The following is a 15591-nucleotide window of genomic DNA, read 5'->3' as shown; positions in this document are numbered from 1 at the left end:
GAAGGAAATTTTCAATGTCATTTGTTTTCTCCTGTTCTTTGTGCACCTAAATAATAAATTCAGGCCCTATTACCACCCGCCTTTCTAAGTAGCAAGAGCTCGTTTTACCGTTTCACACACAAAACTCTCTGAACAAAGGACCTTGTGTTCTGAGTGTATCCCTTGTCTCTGACTTTCCAATAAAAAAGGGATCATTTTCAAAATTGCATATTTTTTCATGAGAAAGTAGAATAAATATTTAAGTGGGGAATGACCTAGGAATTAGATATGCCAATTATAACTATACATATTTAAAATGTATGTGTGTGTGTGTGTGTGATTAGCACATATTTGTAAGTGGATCTCCCGTCCTTCTATCTTGGTGAGACTGTAGTTACTCTTTGAGCTTCCCAGCTGTGTCAGTTATACCCCTGGTTGTTTCCCAGTGTCAATTGTTATCCCACCACTTGTGCTGTCTTCTCAATTTCTATTATTAGTTTCATCCATGCCTCTCTTGTTACAAGAAACACTGACTTTGGCCACCTTGAAAACAGGAGTAGTTTATTGGCAGAACAACAGGAGCTCATAATAGGAAAGAGGCAATGAGAGGGAAAAAAGCCTGGCACTGGATTAGGAAAGAGCAAGCTCACAAGCCTAGAAACCATGCAGATAACACTAGTTTTGTAGCAGAGAACCCAATGTGAAATGAACCCAGATGTTTGTAGTCATTCTATACTTTTTTAAAAATTTTATTATACTTTCAGTTTTAGGGTACATGTGCACAATGTGCAGGTTTGTTACATATGTATACATGTGCCATGTTGGTGTGCTGCACTCATTAACTCGTCATTTAGCATTAGGTATATCTCCTAATGCTATCCCTCCCCACTCCCCCAACCCCACAACAGTCCCCGGAGTGTGATGTTCCCCTTCCTGTGTCCATGTGTTCTCATTGTTCAATTCCCACCTATAAATGAGAACATGCAGTGTTTGGTTTTTTGTCCTTGCAATAGTTTGCTGAGAATGATGGTTTCCAGTTTCATGCATGTCCCTACAAAGGACATGGACTCATCATTTTTATGGCTGCATAGTATTCCATGGTGTATACGTGCCACATTTTCTTAATCCAGTCTATCGTTGTTGGACCTTTGGGTTGGTTCCAAGTCTTTCCTATTGTGAACAGTGCCACAATAAACAACATGTGCATGTGTCTTTATAGCAGCATGAGTTATAATCCTTTGGGTATATACCCAGTAATGGGATGGCTGGGTCAAATGGTATTTCTAGTTCTAGATCCCTGAGGAATCGCCACACTGACTTCCACAATGGTTGAACTAGTTTACAGTCCCACCAACAGTGTAAAAGTGTTCCTATTTCTCTACATCCTCTCCAGCACCTGTTGTTTCCTGACTTTTTAATGATCGCCATTCTAACTGGTGTGAGATGGTATCTCATTGTGATTTTGATTTGCATTTCTCTGATAGCCAGTGAGCATGAGCATTTTTTCATGTGCTTTTTGGCTGCATAAATATCTTCTTTTGAGAAGTGTCTGTTTATATCCTTTGCCCACTTTTTGATGGGGTTTTTTTTTCTTGTAAATACGTTTGAGTTCATGAATGAATGTAGTCATTCTATACTTAAAGATTAAAATTCCAGGGAGGGAGACTCCAATTGACATAGCTTGGGTCACCTGTCTATAACTTGGGCAGGGCATGGGATGATTTAACTTTACATGGTATATAGGATTCCCCAGAGGGACAAAACTAATAGGAGATATATATATATATATATACACACACACACATTATATATATATATATGTATATATGTGTATACATATATTTACAAATATGTTTTTATATATTGTGAGACTTCACCTTGTGATTGTGTGAGACAATTCTCCTTAATAAACCCTTTTCATATATATATATATGAAAAGCCTTTCATATATATGATAGGCCATCTGCAAGCTGAGGTTATCAATACATATACATATGTATATATATGTTTGTATATATTGTGAGTCTTCACTTTGTGATCGTGTGAGTCAATTCTCCTTAATAAACCCTTTTCATATATATGAGAAAAGCCTTTCATATACATGATAGGCCGTCTGCAAGCTGAGGAGGTAGGAAGCCAGTAAGGGCTCAGTCTGAATCCAAAAGCCTCAAAAGTAAGGAAGACAACAGTGCATCCTTAAGTCTGTGGCCAAAGGCCTGAGAGTCCTTGGCAAACCACTGGTGTAAGTCCAAGAGTCCAAAGGCTGAAGACCCTGGAGTCTGATGTCCAAGGGCAGAAAACATGAAGATGAAGGTTGGAAGACTCAGCAAGCCAGCTCAACCCACCTTCTTCCATCTGCTTTGTTCCAGCTGTACTGGCAGCTGACTGGATGATGCCCACCCACATTGAGGTTTGGTTTTCCTTTCCCTGTCCACTGACTCAAATGTTAATCTCCTCTGGCAACACCCTCACAGACACACCCAGGAACAATACTTTATCAGCTATCTAGGCATTCTTCAATTCAATCAGTTTGACACCTACTATTAACCATCACACATGGGATGCTTTATTCTGTATCCCCTGGGGAGGAGGCTACCCTCTAGAAAGAAATTAGTTCAAGAAGGGAGAAGGAATGGTGACAAGGAATATCCATTAACTGTTTGTGTGAGCTTCTTGAGCTCAACAATCATATTTGTCTGTTTGTTGGTTTTTGTCTTTGATCTCAGGTTCTTAGCATAATGCTGTCACAGAGTGGAGTCTTAATAAATGTTTGTTGACTCTCAGTGCTAGAATAAATAATATTAACACATTTTGACAGCATAATTATAAACATAAATGCATCAATTTCTTTAGTAATGACTTTTCATTCTCCTCTTTATTCTAAGAAGTGTATCCTAAAAATGACCAAAAGAAAAAAAAAAAGCAATTCATTAAAACATTATTGGGCTCAAATATGCACTATATTTAGCAGGTACAATAATGAAAAAGGCAAAATGTCTTCCCTGTAGAAGTTTCTGGCATACCAGAGTCATGTGTCTAGGTCAGTGATACAAGTTGTCTAGAGAGGCTGGTACCAAGAGTGATCATCATTACAACATTAAGTAAAATAAACACAATTTAAAATAGACTAAACCTCCCATCACAGCTGAATGAAGTATATAAATGTTTTCAAGTGCACTCAAGAGATTGCTATTCAGACACTAAAAACACATGAATGAGAAGTCTATGTGACAACCTGAAACGCATTTAAAAACAAAATATTAAATGGCATGATTGGTTAACTATGAAAATATGAATTTACATGAATGTGGAAAAGACTTAGGGATGAAAAAAATTATTGTCAGAAAGATAGTTTTATTTTTCAATTTTCTTTAATGCTATTATACTATGGTTATATAATAAATATAATTTATAGAGATAAGTTGGGAATATTTATTTAGTTTTATCATTATTCAACAACAACCAAATACTCTAAAATTGCTCCCTTACCTGTTAATGGGACGTAATTTCATTCTTTAACTTACAGCTAGGGCTTCTGTTCTGAATGCCTGGGGAGACTGCATTTTTATGTTAGTTTTTATTTATTCCTCATGAATTCTTGTTGGTTTTGCTCGCTGGGAGCACCCGTACTTTAGGGGCTATGAGAAAAAAATGTGTAGGTGTTCAATAGAGTTAGTTAGAATAAATGGCTGTTTATGATTCTTGCTAATGTATGTTTTATTATTTTTTTATTGCTCTACATTGATACATCTCTGTAGAAGTTCCAAGAGCTTTAAATCCTCTTTATCTAAATTGAAAACATCATCTTGAATCAATATCTTCTCTTTCTCCTGGTTACTGTGTTTCTGTGGAATTCTCCAAAGTATTCAGTATACACTTTCTCCAAATGTAAGATTAGTAACCAATTTCTGTAGATTTAAATATCACCATCATAGACAAATTAGTTTAGCCCTTGATTATCACATACCTGATCATTTTAGTAGTGCCTTACCGCTTTTCTCAGTCAGCGCACCCCTGCTACATCATGCTGACAGAGGCCAAATAACAGCACACATCTGTTTTAAAACTTCTCAAAGGCTCTCATGCATTAGTCAGCTGAAGTACAAATGCTGTAACTCAAACACCTACCTACTTTTGTAGCATTATCATCCATGATTACCTTGCTCCTACCCTGTAAATTAACTAAACTGGCCGACTTCCTGTTCCTGCATTGCATCAATGACTCCCACTTCCCTGTCATTGTTCATGTAATCTTTTCTCGAAATGTCCTTCCCCATCTTTGCCGTAATCATTCAAATTTCTATCTATTCTATCCTTAAAGAAATATTCAAACAATTACACATTCTATTTTTTTTATTTTTCCAAATAGATATGATTTCCTTCCCTTCAATCCTAATATGCTCCCTTTTACAATATTTAATCTGTGTTATTCTAATGTAAATAGTGGTTAGACTATGCATAGTTTGAGCACAAGTGCCTCTGAATACACATATAATAACTTTGTCACCCTGGCCTCCATTTGCTGTACCCAGCGCAGAGGTTAGCTTGTTCTTTTGTTTTGATTAAAGAATGACTCCAAAATTGTTGCAGATAATTTCTAAGATGATTGAGTATACATTTCACCTCCAGTTCAATTATTTTTCTGATTCAGAGGAAAGATACAAAGAGGGAATCCAAAAGCAGGAGTCTTACAAAAGGATTGAAAGAACAGAAAGATGAATGAGACAAGGGAAAATAATAAGCACCTTCTAAGACTTGAAGACTAAGTTAAACTTGAATGAGTTTAGAGAAAGAGTAATGCATTATATTGTGTGTGTGGTGGATGTGGTGTTGATATGTGTACTCCACACAAAGCAGTTTGGGTGTGTTACTTTAGGAAACATATTAGTGAGAGGTAGTGCTTTATTGTGTCTTCTGTCTCTGCACATCTTGATTAATTAATGATTTACGCATTGCAAGTGAGTTTTATGGTTAATTTTTGTGTCAACTTGACTAGGTTAAAGGATAGCCAGATAGCTGGTAAAACATTACTTCCGGATGTGTCTGTAAAAGTGTTTCTGAAAGGAATTAGCATTTGAACCCGTACACTGGGAAAGAAAATTCCTGCTGCCATCCTTCTTTACATATTTCACTCTGTAGATGAGTGAGTGAACTGATGCCATAGATAAAAGCCAAATCAAAGATTATGCAAGCCATAGACTAACAGATCAGGAGGAAACCTGAGGGAGGCCTATTTAACCTCTGAAATGCTTAAAAATACCTAGAATTATCTATGAATGAAGATCCAGAGAATTGGCAGGGTTAGTGGATTGACTGAGTACACACAGTGTATTGTTTGTTGGCAGTGCCAGTTTTGTTTCTGTTGTTGTTGTTTTTTGTTTTTAATTTTTTGAGATGGAGTTTTGCTCTTGTTGCCCATGCTGGAGTGCAATGGCGTGATCTTGGCTCACTGCAACCTCTGCCTCCTGGGTTCAAGTGATTCTCCTGCCCCAGCCTCCCAACTAGCTGGGAATACAGGCATGTGTCACCACGCCTGGCTAATTTTGTATTTTTTAAGTAGAGACGGGGTTTCTCCATGTTGGTCAGGCTGGTCTGGAACTCCCGACCTCAGGTGATCCGCTCACCTCAGCCTCCCAAAGTGCTGGGATTACAGGCCTGAGCCACCATGCCCAGCAGGCAGTGCCAGTTTTAAAATCCAGGGGCTCTGAGCCTCAAACCAGTGCCTCCTGCACTTAGTGCCATGAGCTGCTCCTGAGTAAATCTCCAGCAAAGGGCAAGCTAAAAGAAAGTTTAGAAGCAGCTAGTTGAACAGAGTCCCCAGAAAAAAAGGCTGTATAGGCTAAATATTTGAGACTTGAGATTTGGTTTGGCTCTGACCTGTATGCCATTTTGTACAGATTTTTCAATCATTATTCTTTGATAATAAGAAAGGGGAGTGCAGAGAAAACAATTTTACAGACAATAGCAGTAACATGGCTGGTCTTTCAGATTCGTCACTGTTGAGCTACAGCTTAAGTAGAAAACAAACCTTAGTATTAAAAAATAGTTTATTTTCTCTCTTTAGAGAGAAATAAACCTCTAGAATCAGAAATATCTAAACTCGTATCTTTTTTGTGTCCCCCATTTCACTCTTTTATTTCTTAAAGTCTTGAATTTTGAGATTAGCCATGGCTAAAAGAACGTTAGTAATTTTACAGTGTTCCATTAAAATAAATAAATAAAATTTACTGGAGAGACATGATTCTGGAATTTTCTTTTGGAATCTCTAATTTTTTGGGAGTTATTGTAAATTAGTATCTTTGTATACATTTCTGAGGGATCTTGAAGTTCTCCCCAATTATTTATGCATTTTCTTGTAGGTGCATTTGCTGGTCATCTAATACATTGTTGTGTGTATAAAATATATTAGGTTGTCCATGATCTCCCAAAGTAAAAAAGAAAAAAATATGAAAACACTAATTGAAGGAGAATATCATGTTATTAATCTAAACATGAAAATATGTTTATACACCAGAATATTCAATGTATATGCACCAGAATATTCCATGAGACTAGCACATTCGTTTGTGGAAGGAAAACCTGTATGCAGTGGTTCTTAACCTTTTTGGCACCAGGGACCGGTTTCCTGGAACACATTTTTTCCACAGACAAAGCAGGAGGAGAGATGGTTTCGGGCTGAAACTGCTGCATCCCAGATCATCAGGCATTAGATTCTCATAAGGAGTATGCAACCTAGATTCCACACATGCATAGTTCACCATAGAGTTTGCGTCCCTTTGAGAATCTAATGCCATGGCTGATCTGACAGGAGGCAAAGCTCAGGCAGTTATACTCTCCCACAGCTCACCTCGTGCTGTGAGGCCAGGTTCCTAACAGGCCATGGACCAGTACCATTTCCATGGCCTAGGGGTTGGGGGTCCCTGTTGCATTGTTTACATGTTTGGCTTCATGAGCACGGAAGTAGAGCAAACAATGTTGAGTAATCACAATGGCTTGTTTCAAGCTGCAATCGCTTGAAACATAATATGTTTATAATAAGACCAAGAGACTGGAGATATTATTATCTGTTAATCATGATGTAGTCTTACCTAGGCAAAGCTGGAGAATTATTTCTTTGATGATGATGATGATGATGATGATGATGATGATTTTATAATTAGTATTCTTAAAAGATGCATTTTTAATAATATTTTGTGTTCTCTGGAGGAGATCCTTATAGGTGGTGCAAGTCTCAGGATGAAATGTACACTTATAAAAGATTTCATGGCACAATGTTCAATGTCTCTGATATATATAAAATTTTACTTTCATTTCTTTATTGTTTGCAATGTAACAATTTTGTTTTATATTAACCACAAAATCTATTTGTCGTATCTATTTGTATTATTTTCATTAAAATAAAATTTTTTCAACTTTTATTTTAGATGCAGGGGGTACATGTGCAGGTTTGTTACATAAGTATATTGCTCTCAGGTAGTGAGCAATGTACCCAATAGGTAGTTTTTTAACCCATTCCCCCCCAACCTCTAGCAGTTTTCAGTATCTATTGTTCCCATGTTTATGCCTGTGGGTGCTCAATATTTAGTCCTACTTATAAGTAGAAACACATGGTGTTGGGTTTTCGGTTCCTGTGTTAATTTGCTTAGGATTATGGTCTCCAGTTTCATCCATATTTCTGCAAAAGACATGATTTCATTGTATGGCTGTATAGTATTCCATGGTGTATATATAGCAAGTTTTTTAAAGCCAGTTCACCATTGGTGGGCACCTGAGTTTATTCCATGTCTTTGCTATCATGAATAGTGCAAAGATAAACATATGACTCTGTGTCTTTTTAGTATAATGATCTATTTTCCTTTGGGTATATACCCAGTAATGAGATAGCTGGGTCAAATGGTATATCTACTTTTACTTCTTGGAGTAATCTGCAAACTGCTTTCCACAGTGGCTGAACGAATTTACATTCCCACCAACAATGTGTAGTGGTCCCTTTTCTCTGAAGACTCACCAGCATCTGTTGTTTTTTGATCTTTTATTAGCCACTCTGACTGGTGTGAGATTGTAACTCATTGTGGTTTGGATTTGCATTTCTCTGATGATTAGTGATGAGCATTTTTTCATGTTTGTTTGCCATTTCTATGTCTTGAGAAGAGTCTGTTCCTGTCCTTTGCCCATTTTAATGGTATTGTTTGTTTCTTGCTTGTTGATTTGCTTAATTCCTTATACATTCTGGACATTAGACCTTTGTCGGATTCATAGCAAATATTTTCTCCCATTCTGTAAGTTGTCTGTTTACTCTGTTGACAGTTTATTTTTCTATGCAGAAGCTCTTTAGTTCAATTAGTTTTCAGTTGTCAATTTTTGTTTTTGTTGAAATTACCTTTGGGCATTTCACCATCAATTCTTTCCCAAGGCTGATGTCAAGAATGGTGTTTCCTAGGTTTCTTCTGGGATTTTTATAGTTTGAGATCTTACATTTAAATATTGAATCTATCTTAAGTTAATTTTTGTATATGGTGAAAGATAGAAATCCAGTTTCATTATTTTGCATATAGCTACCCAGTTACCACAGCATCATTTATTAAATAGGGAATCCTTTCTCTGTTGCTTATTTTTGTTGTCCTTGTTGAAGATCAGATGGTTATAAGTGTGAGGATTCATTGCTGTGTTTTATATTCTGTTCCATTGGTCTATGTATCTGTTTTTGTATCAGTACCATGCTGTTTTGGTTACTATAGCCTTATAGTTTAGTTTGAAGTTGGATAGTGTGATGCCTCTGACTTTGTTCTTTTTGCATTAGAATTGCTTTGGCTCTTCAGGCTCTTTTTTGTTTACACATGAATTTCAGAATAGTTTTTTCTAGTTCTGTGAGGAATGGCATTGGTGGTTTGATAGGAATAGCATTGAATCTGTAAATTGTTTTGGGCAATATGACCATTTTAATGATATTGATTCTTCTAATCCACGAGCATGAGATGTTTTTCCATTTGTTTGTGTCACCTCTGATTACTCTTAGCAGTGTTTTGTAGTTCTCCTTGTGGAGATCTTTCACCTCCTGGGTTAACTCTATTCCCAGATATTTTCTTTCCTTTGTGGCTATTGTAAATGGGATTGTGATGTTGATTTGACTCTCAGCCTCATTGTTATTGATGTATAGAAATGCCATTTATTTTTGTACATTGATTTTGTATCCTGAAAATTTACTAAAAATGTTAATCAGTTCTAGTAGCCCTTTGGCGGAGTCTTTAGACTTTTCTAGGCGTAGAATCACATTGCCAGTGAAGAGAGAGTTTGACTTCTTTTTTCCATTTGAATGCCTTTCATTTCTTTCTCTTGCCTGATTGCTCTGGCTAGGACTTCCAGTAATATGTTGAACAGGAGTGGTGAGAGCAGAAATCTTTGTCTTGTTTCAGTTCTCAACAGGAATAATTCCAGCTTTTTCTCATTCAGTATGAAGTTGGCTGTGGGTTTGTCATACATCACTCTTCCTCCTTTGAGGTATAGTCCTTCGATGCCCAGTTCATTGAGGGTTTTTGTAATTATGGCTGTTGGATTTTATTAAAAGCTTTTTCTATATTGAGTGAGATAATTATAAGTTTTTGTATTTAATTGTTCATGTGCTCAAGGACATTTATTGATTTGCATATATTAAACCAGTTTTGCATCCGATGAATAAAGCCTACTGGGTCATGGTGTACTAACTTTTACATGTGCTGCTGGATTCAGTTTGCTACTATTTTGTTGAGGATTTTTGTGTCTATCTTCATCAAAGGTATTGGCCTGGAGTTTTTTTGTATGTGTGTCTTTGTCAGATTTTGGTATCAGGATGATGCCAGCATCCAACAATGAATTAGGGAGGTGCCCCTCCACCTCCATTTTTTGGAATAACTTCAGTAGGATTAGTACCAGTTCTTATTTCTATGCCTGATAGAATTGAGCTGTGAATGCCCCTGGTCCAGGGCTTTCTTTTGGTTAGCAGGTTTTTGTTTGTTTGTTTGTTTTCTGTTTTGTTTTTGTGTTTGTTTTATTACTGATTAAATTTCAGAGCTTGATATTGGTCTGTCCAGGGTTTCAATGTCTTCCTGATTCAATCGTGAGAGATTGTGTTTTTTCAAGAATTTATCTGTTTCCTCTAGACTTTCTAATTTGTGTGCATAGGATTGTTTATGGTATTCTCTGAGGATCTTTTGTGTTTCTGTGGGATCAATTGTAATGTTATCTTTAACATTTCTGTTTGTACTCATTTGGATCTTCACTTTTTTCTTCTTTGTTAATCTAGCTAATGATCTGTCAATCTTGTTTGTTTGTTCAAAGAACCAACACTTGGTTTCATTGATATTTTGTATGGATTGATATATCTCAATTTTATTAGGTTCTCTAATTTTAGTTTTTTCCTTTCTTCTGGTGGCTTGAGAAATGATTTGTTATTGATTATTCTAGTTCCTTTAGGTGTAATTTTAGATGGTTAATTTGAAATTTTTCTAATTTCTTGAGAAAGGCATTTAGCACTATAACCTTTCCTCATAACACTGCTTTGAGATTTTGGTGGGTTGTTTCTCTATTTTCATTAATTTCAAAGAATATTTTTTATTTTTGTCCTAATTTCAGTTATCACTCCTGAGTTGCTCAGAAGAAAGTTGTTTAATTTTCATGAATTTGTGTAGTTTTGAGAGATCTTCTTGATAGTGATTTCTATTTTTATTTTACTGTGATCTGAGTGTGTTTGTAGTATGATTTTATTTTTTTAATTTATTAAGATTTGCATTATGACCAAGCATGTGGTTGATCTTACAATATGTTCCATATGTAGATGAGAAGAATGTATATCCTATGGTTACTCAGTAGACTGTTCTGTCTATGTCTATTTGGTTCAATTAGTCAAGTCTCGAGTTTATGTTCAGAATTTTTTTGTTAGTTTCATGCCTTGATAATCTGTATAACAATGTCAGTGTGGTGTTGAAGTCTCTCACTATTATTGTGTGGTTCTCTAAGTCTTTTCTTAGGCCAAGAACTTATTTTATGAATCTAGGTACTCAAATGTTGGGCATATATATATTTAGGATTCTTAAGTTCTCTTGTTGGATTGAACCCTTTATCATTATGTAATGTCTTTCTTCGTCCTTCTTAATTTTTATTGGTTTAAAATTTGTTTCATTGATATAAGAATGGCAACTCCTGCTCTTTTATGTTTTCCATTTGCATGGTAGCTCTTACTCCATCCCTTTACTTTGAGCCTGTTTGTTTTGTTACATGTGAGAAGGCTCTCTTAAAGACAGCATGTGGTTAGGTTTTGTCAGCTTGCCACTTTGTCTCTTTTAAGTGGGATGTTGAGCCCATTTGCATTCTGAGTTAGTAGTGATACATAAGATTTTGATCCTATTATCATGTTACTAGGTGGTTCTTCTATAAACTTCATTTTGTGACTTCTTTTTAGTGTCTGTGAGCTATGTGCTTAAGTATATTTTTGGTAGCAGGTGTCATTCTTTTGGTTCCATGTTTAGCACTCCCTTAAGGACCTCTTGTAAGGTAGTCTACTTAACATGCATTCCCTTAGTGTTTGCTTGTCTGAGATGGATTTTACTTCTCCTTCACTTATAAAGCTTAGTTTCTCAGAATATGAAATTCTTATTTGGAATGTCTTTTATTTGACAATGCTGAAAATATGCCCTCAATCTTTTCTGATTTGTAAGATTTCTGCTGAGAGGTCTCCTGCTAGCCTGATGAAATTCCCTCTGTATGAGACTTGACCCTTCTCTCTAGATGCCTTTAAGAGTTTTTTTGGGTGGGTTCAGTGTCTCATGCCTGTAATCCCAGCATTTTGGGAGGCTGAGGCGGATGGATCATGAGGTTGAGATCGAGATCATCCTGGCCAACATGGTGAAACCCCATCTCTACTAAAAATACAAAAATTAGTCAGGGGTGGTGGCATGCATCCCAGCTACTTGGGAGCCTGAGGCAGGAGAATTGCTTGAATCCAGGAGGCAGAGGCTGCAGTGAGCCAAGATCGTGCCACTGCACTCCAGCCTGCCAAGAGAGTGAGACTCAGTCTCAAAAGAAAAAAAAAGAGATTTTTTTTTGTTGTTGTTGTTTGTGTATGTGTGTGTGTGTGTGTGTGTGTGTGCGTGCGTGCGCGCGCGCGGACGTACCTTGGGGATGGTTGTCTTGTACAGTATTTCACTGGGGTTTTCTGTATTTTTTGGATTTGTATCTCAAGCTCTTTGGCAAGATTTGAGAAATTTTCATGAGCTATATTCTCAAATATATTCCAAGTTGTTTATTTTCTCTCCTTCTCTCTCAGGTAACGCTACTGAGGCACAGATTTGTTATTTTTATATAATCCTATATCTCTTGGAAATTTTGTTCATTTTTTAAAACTCTCTTTTATTTTTGTTTGACTGAGTTGATTTGAAGAACCAGCATTCAAGCTCAGAGATTCTTTCCTCAGCTTGGTATATTCTGCTGTTAATAGTTCTCATTTTAGTAGGAAATTCCTGTAGTAGATTTTTAGCTCTAGAAGATAAGTTTTGTTGTTTCTTAAAATGGCTATCTTGTGGGCAGCAATGGCAGGTACTGCTGCAGTGGCAGTGGCTGAGGGGTCCTCAGTTGCCTCTGAGAGCGCCATGCCAGAGAAACACAGAGCTGCTGCAATCAGGATGATCAGCTCTGGGTGGTGGCAGCTGTACTGGTGAAGCCCAAGCCAGAGGGCCCTGCCTGGTGAAAAGCAGAGGAGGTTCAGGGAGGGAGAAGGGGCAGCACAGTGAAGACAGTCTGGCCTCCTTTCCTTAGGGAGGCTGTGGTGTTTTTCAAGAGGTGCAAGAAAAGCAATCAAGGTCTTTGTTCCTTCCCTAGCCTGTGGAAGGCAGGGGTAGGTACTGCTGAGGTGGCAATGCCGGAGGGCCTATTGATTGTCTCTGGGAGCTCCACCCCAGGTAAATGCAAAGCGGCCATCAACTGAAGTGATCAGGCAGGGGTAGGGCAGCTGTGCTGGGGGTCCAGGCTGGGAGGCCCTGCCCAGTAAGGAGTAGTAGGGCCAAGAACCCATGTGGAAAACAGTCTGGCTGCCTTTCCATACAGCACCTGTGACGTGCTGGAGGCCTACAACAGTTCTTGGGTTCTTGGCTCCCTCCCTTGCCTCAGAGCAGCAGGGGCAAGGGCCACAGCAGTGGGAAATGCTGCAAGCCTGTTACTTCTGGGAGCTCTGCCTCAGAGAAATGTAGAGTTGTGACCAGCTAGAGTGCTCAGACCCAGGATAAGTGGCTGCCCTGGAGTCCTAGACCTGTTGACTTTGTCTGGCCTGGTGCAGCAGAGGTGAGTCCTGCCGTCCATCCACTCCTTAGCACTGTGGATGCGGTCCCTATCCTGGGGGCATGTGGGAAAGCATGGCCTCACACACCCCCAGGATAGGATGGGGCTACAGCTGCTGGTGCCAAGGTGCTCAGGGATCCAAGGTCCATGAGGCTCTGCATAGGCCTAAGTGGGTGCTCTGACCAGAATCCATGCCACTCTATGTTTCAGTCTGGAAGCTCTGGGGCGGGGTGTGGGGGGTGGGGGAGTAGGGAAAATCTCCTGTGCCCAGAATTGCGAAGGTCCATGTCAATGATGGCAGTGGCTGCTGCTATCATTCTGGCTGCAGCAGGGAAGCATGGCTGGGACTGCACACTCCATGGAGCCAGTGAGAGCCCTGCTCCTTCTCAGTTGGGTAGGGAGCTCTCCCTGCTGCTGCAGCCCTGCCCAAACCACAGCTGCTGACACACGCCTGCTCCTCAGAGCAGGCAGGACTCCTGCCCTCCTGAGCGGGACTACAGCTGCCCAAACTGCAGCAGTGGATCCCAGCCTCCCTGTAGGAGCCGGGAACAGGCAGGATCTACCCTCCTGGTGCAGCTGCAGCTGGAGGGCGGGGTCCTGCCTTCTCTGTAGAGCAGGTCTGTGTCTGCAGCTGTGGCAGCGTCTGCAGACCTGGGCCTCCCACTCCAGGAAGCAGGCAGGAGTGGTGACAAACAGGAGCCCTGCCTCTTCTGTGTTGGCAAGGCCGGAGCTCTGGGGTGCAACTGCCGCTGCCCTCCCAGGCACAGGACCGGGTCGTCTCTGCAGCCTGTACCCTCAGTTTCCCCAGAAAGTACCCTGGTCCCTGCAGGCTCAAGTGTGTCTGCTCCCACTGCCTGGCCTTTCTCTACTCCCAGGGCCCACTCTGAAGTCTGAGCATGGTTGGGGGCAAGCCCCGGGGCTATGAATGGCGGCAGGAGGCAGACAGAGTCCTGGACGGAAGTGGGCGGGGTCCCCAGTAAGGCCCCACCCTCAGGCCAGGGAGGGCCTGAAGGCTGGGGGTGGGCCTGTCAGTCCCGCAGACTGGAGTGGGGACTCCTGGTGCCTCTTTCAGCCTGCCCATGGCTGCCCATGGACCAGTGGGCACGCGCTTCCTCCCCTCTGAGGTCCATAAAAGCCCTGGGCTCAGCTAGATCAGGGCAGAGGACAGCCAGAAGAGGAAGATGGCAGAGAGACACTGGGAATGGAAGACCAGCTGCAGAGAGGAGTACCCTCTCTGCTTAGAGCTGCAGAGACAACCAGTGAGAAGAAAGGAGCTATCCTCTCTACTGAGAGCTTCAGAGACCTGCAGAACTGTCCCCACAACCTCCCTGCAGAGAGGGGCTCTCCTCTCCAGGGTCTCCTCTCTGCAGAGAGCTGAAAACTCCACAGGACGACCTGCCTACAGAGGGGAGCTACCCACTCCTCTGAGCTGTTCTAACATTAAATAAAACTATTGTGTATTCAAGGGCCAATAAGTATCTCTCAAGAGGGAAGGCACATTTATAAAGGACTGAATAACACAATGTAAAAACAGATGTAAGTATTTTAAAAATGTTAATGCCACTATGAGACTTCCTGTTTGTACGAAATATCCATTATCTGAACATTCCACCTTCCAAGTGTGCAAAAGCAAATATTCTTTGGTTATGACTACGGAGGTTCCACTGAAGAGCACTAACCGCTTTTTCAGAGCTTTGCGAAGGTGAGCTCTTAGAGAGATAAGTAGGTGACCAGCAGGCTCAGCAACCTGCCCATTATCACAGCTATGGCATAGAAAGCTGTTAAAATATGAAAAAGCGTGGACGGGATTCTATATTATTCTCTCTAGTAATAAAACCAGCAATATAGAGATGTTATACTAAAGAAAGAGAAAGTTATGCTTTGAAATGAAAAAAGAATTTTTTATAATATGAAACTTTGCTCTGTGTTTTTGAACCATATTTCTTTTTCTTTTGTTGAGAAGAAGTCTCACTCTATTGCCCAGGCTGGAGTGCAGTGGTGCGATCTTGGCTCACTGCAACCTCGGCCTCCTGGGTTAAAGCTGTTCTCCTGCCTCAGCCTCTGGAGTAGGTGGGATTACAGCGCCCATCACCATGCCTGGCTAATTTTTGTATTTTTAGTAAAGACGAGTTTTCGCCATGTTGGCCAGGCTGGTTTCAAACTTCTGACCTCAGGTGATCTGCCCTCCTCGGCCTCACAAAGTGCTGGGATTACAGGCATGAGCCACCGTGCCAAGCCGGTGTTTTTGAAAAATTGAACACATGAATTTTAAATTCAAGGACTTTGTCAGAATATTTTGGATCTTTC

General features: G+C 39.9%; 2 annotated features.

Moving 5' to 3' along the window:
• Nucleotides 13424–13947: an enhancer, noted in NCBI's record as "H3K4me1 hESC enhancer chr11:25965781-25966304 (GRCh37/hg19 assembly coordinates)". NCBI's record gives its function as "activates a minimal SCP1, AML or CMV promoter by ChIP-STARR-seq in naive H9 embryonic stem cells {active_cell/tissue: H9 hESC(naive)}" and the evidence as "EXISTENCE:reporter gene assay evidence [ECO:0000049][PMID:30033119]".
• Nucleotides 13948–14473: an enhancer, noted in NCBI's record as "H3K4me1 hESC enhancer chr11:25965255-25965780 (GRCh37/hg19 assembly coordinates)". NCBI's record gives its function as "activates a minimal SCP1, AML or CMV promoter by ChIP-STARR-seq in naive H9 embryonic stem cells {active_cell/tissue: H9 hESC(naive)}" and the evidence as "EXISTENCE:reporter gene assay evidence [ECO:0000049][PMID:30033119]".

Source organism: Homo sapiens, chromosome 11, assembly GCF_000001405.40.
Source record: "Homo sapiens chromosome 11, GRCh38.p14 Primary Assembly".
NCBI classification, from domain to species: domain Eukaryota; kingdom Metazoa; phylum Chordata; class Mammalia; order Primates; family Hominidae; genus Homo; species Homo sapiens.
This window is presented reverse-complemented; position numbering and strand designations above follow the sequence as displayed.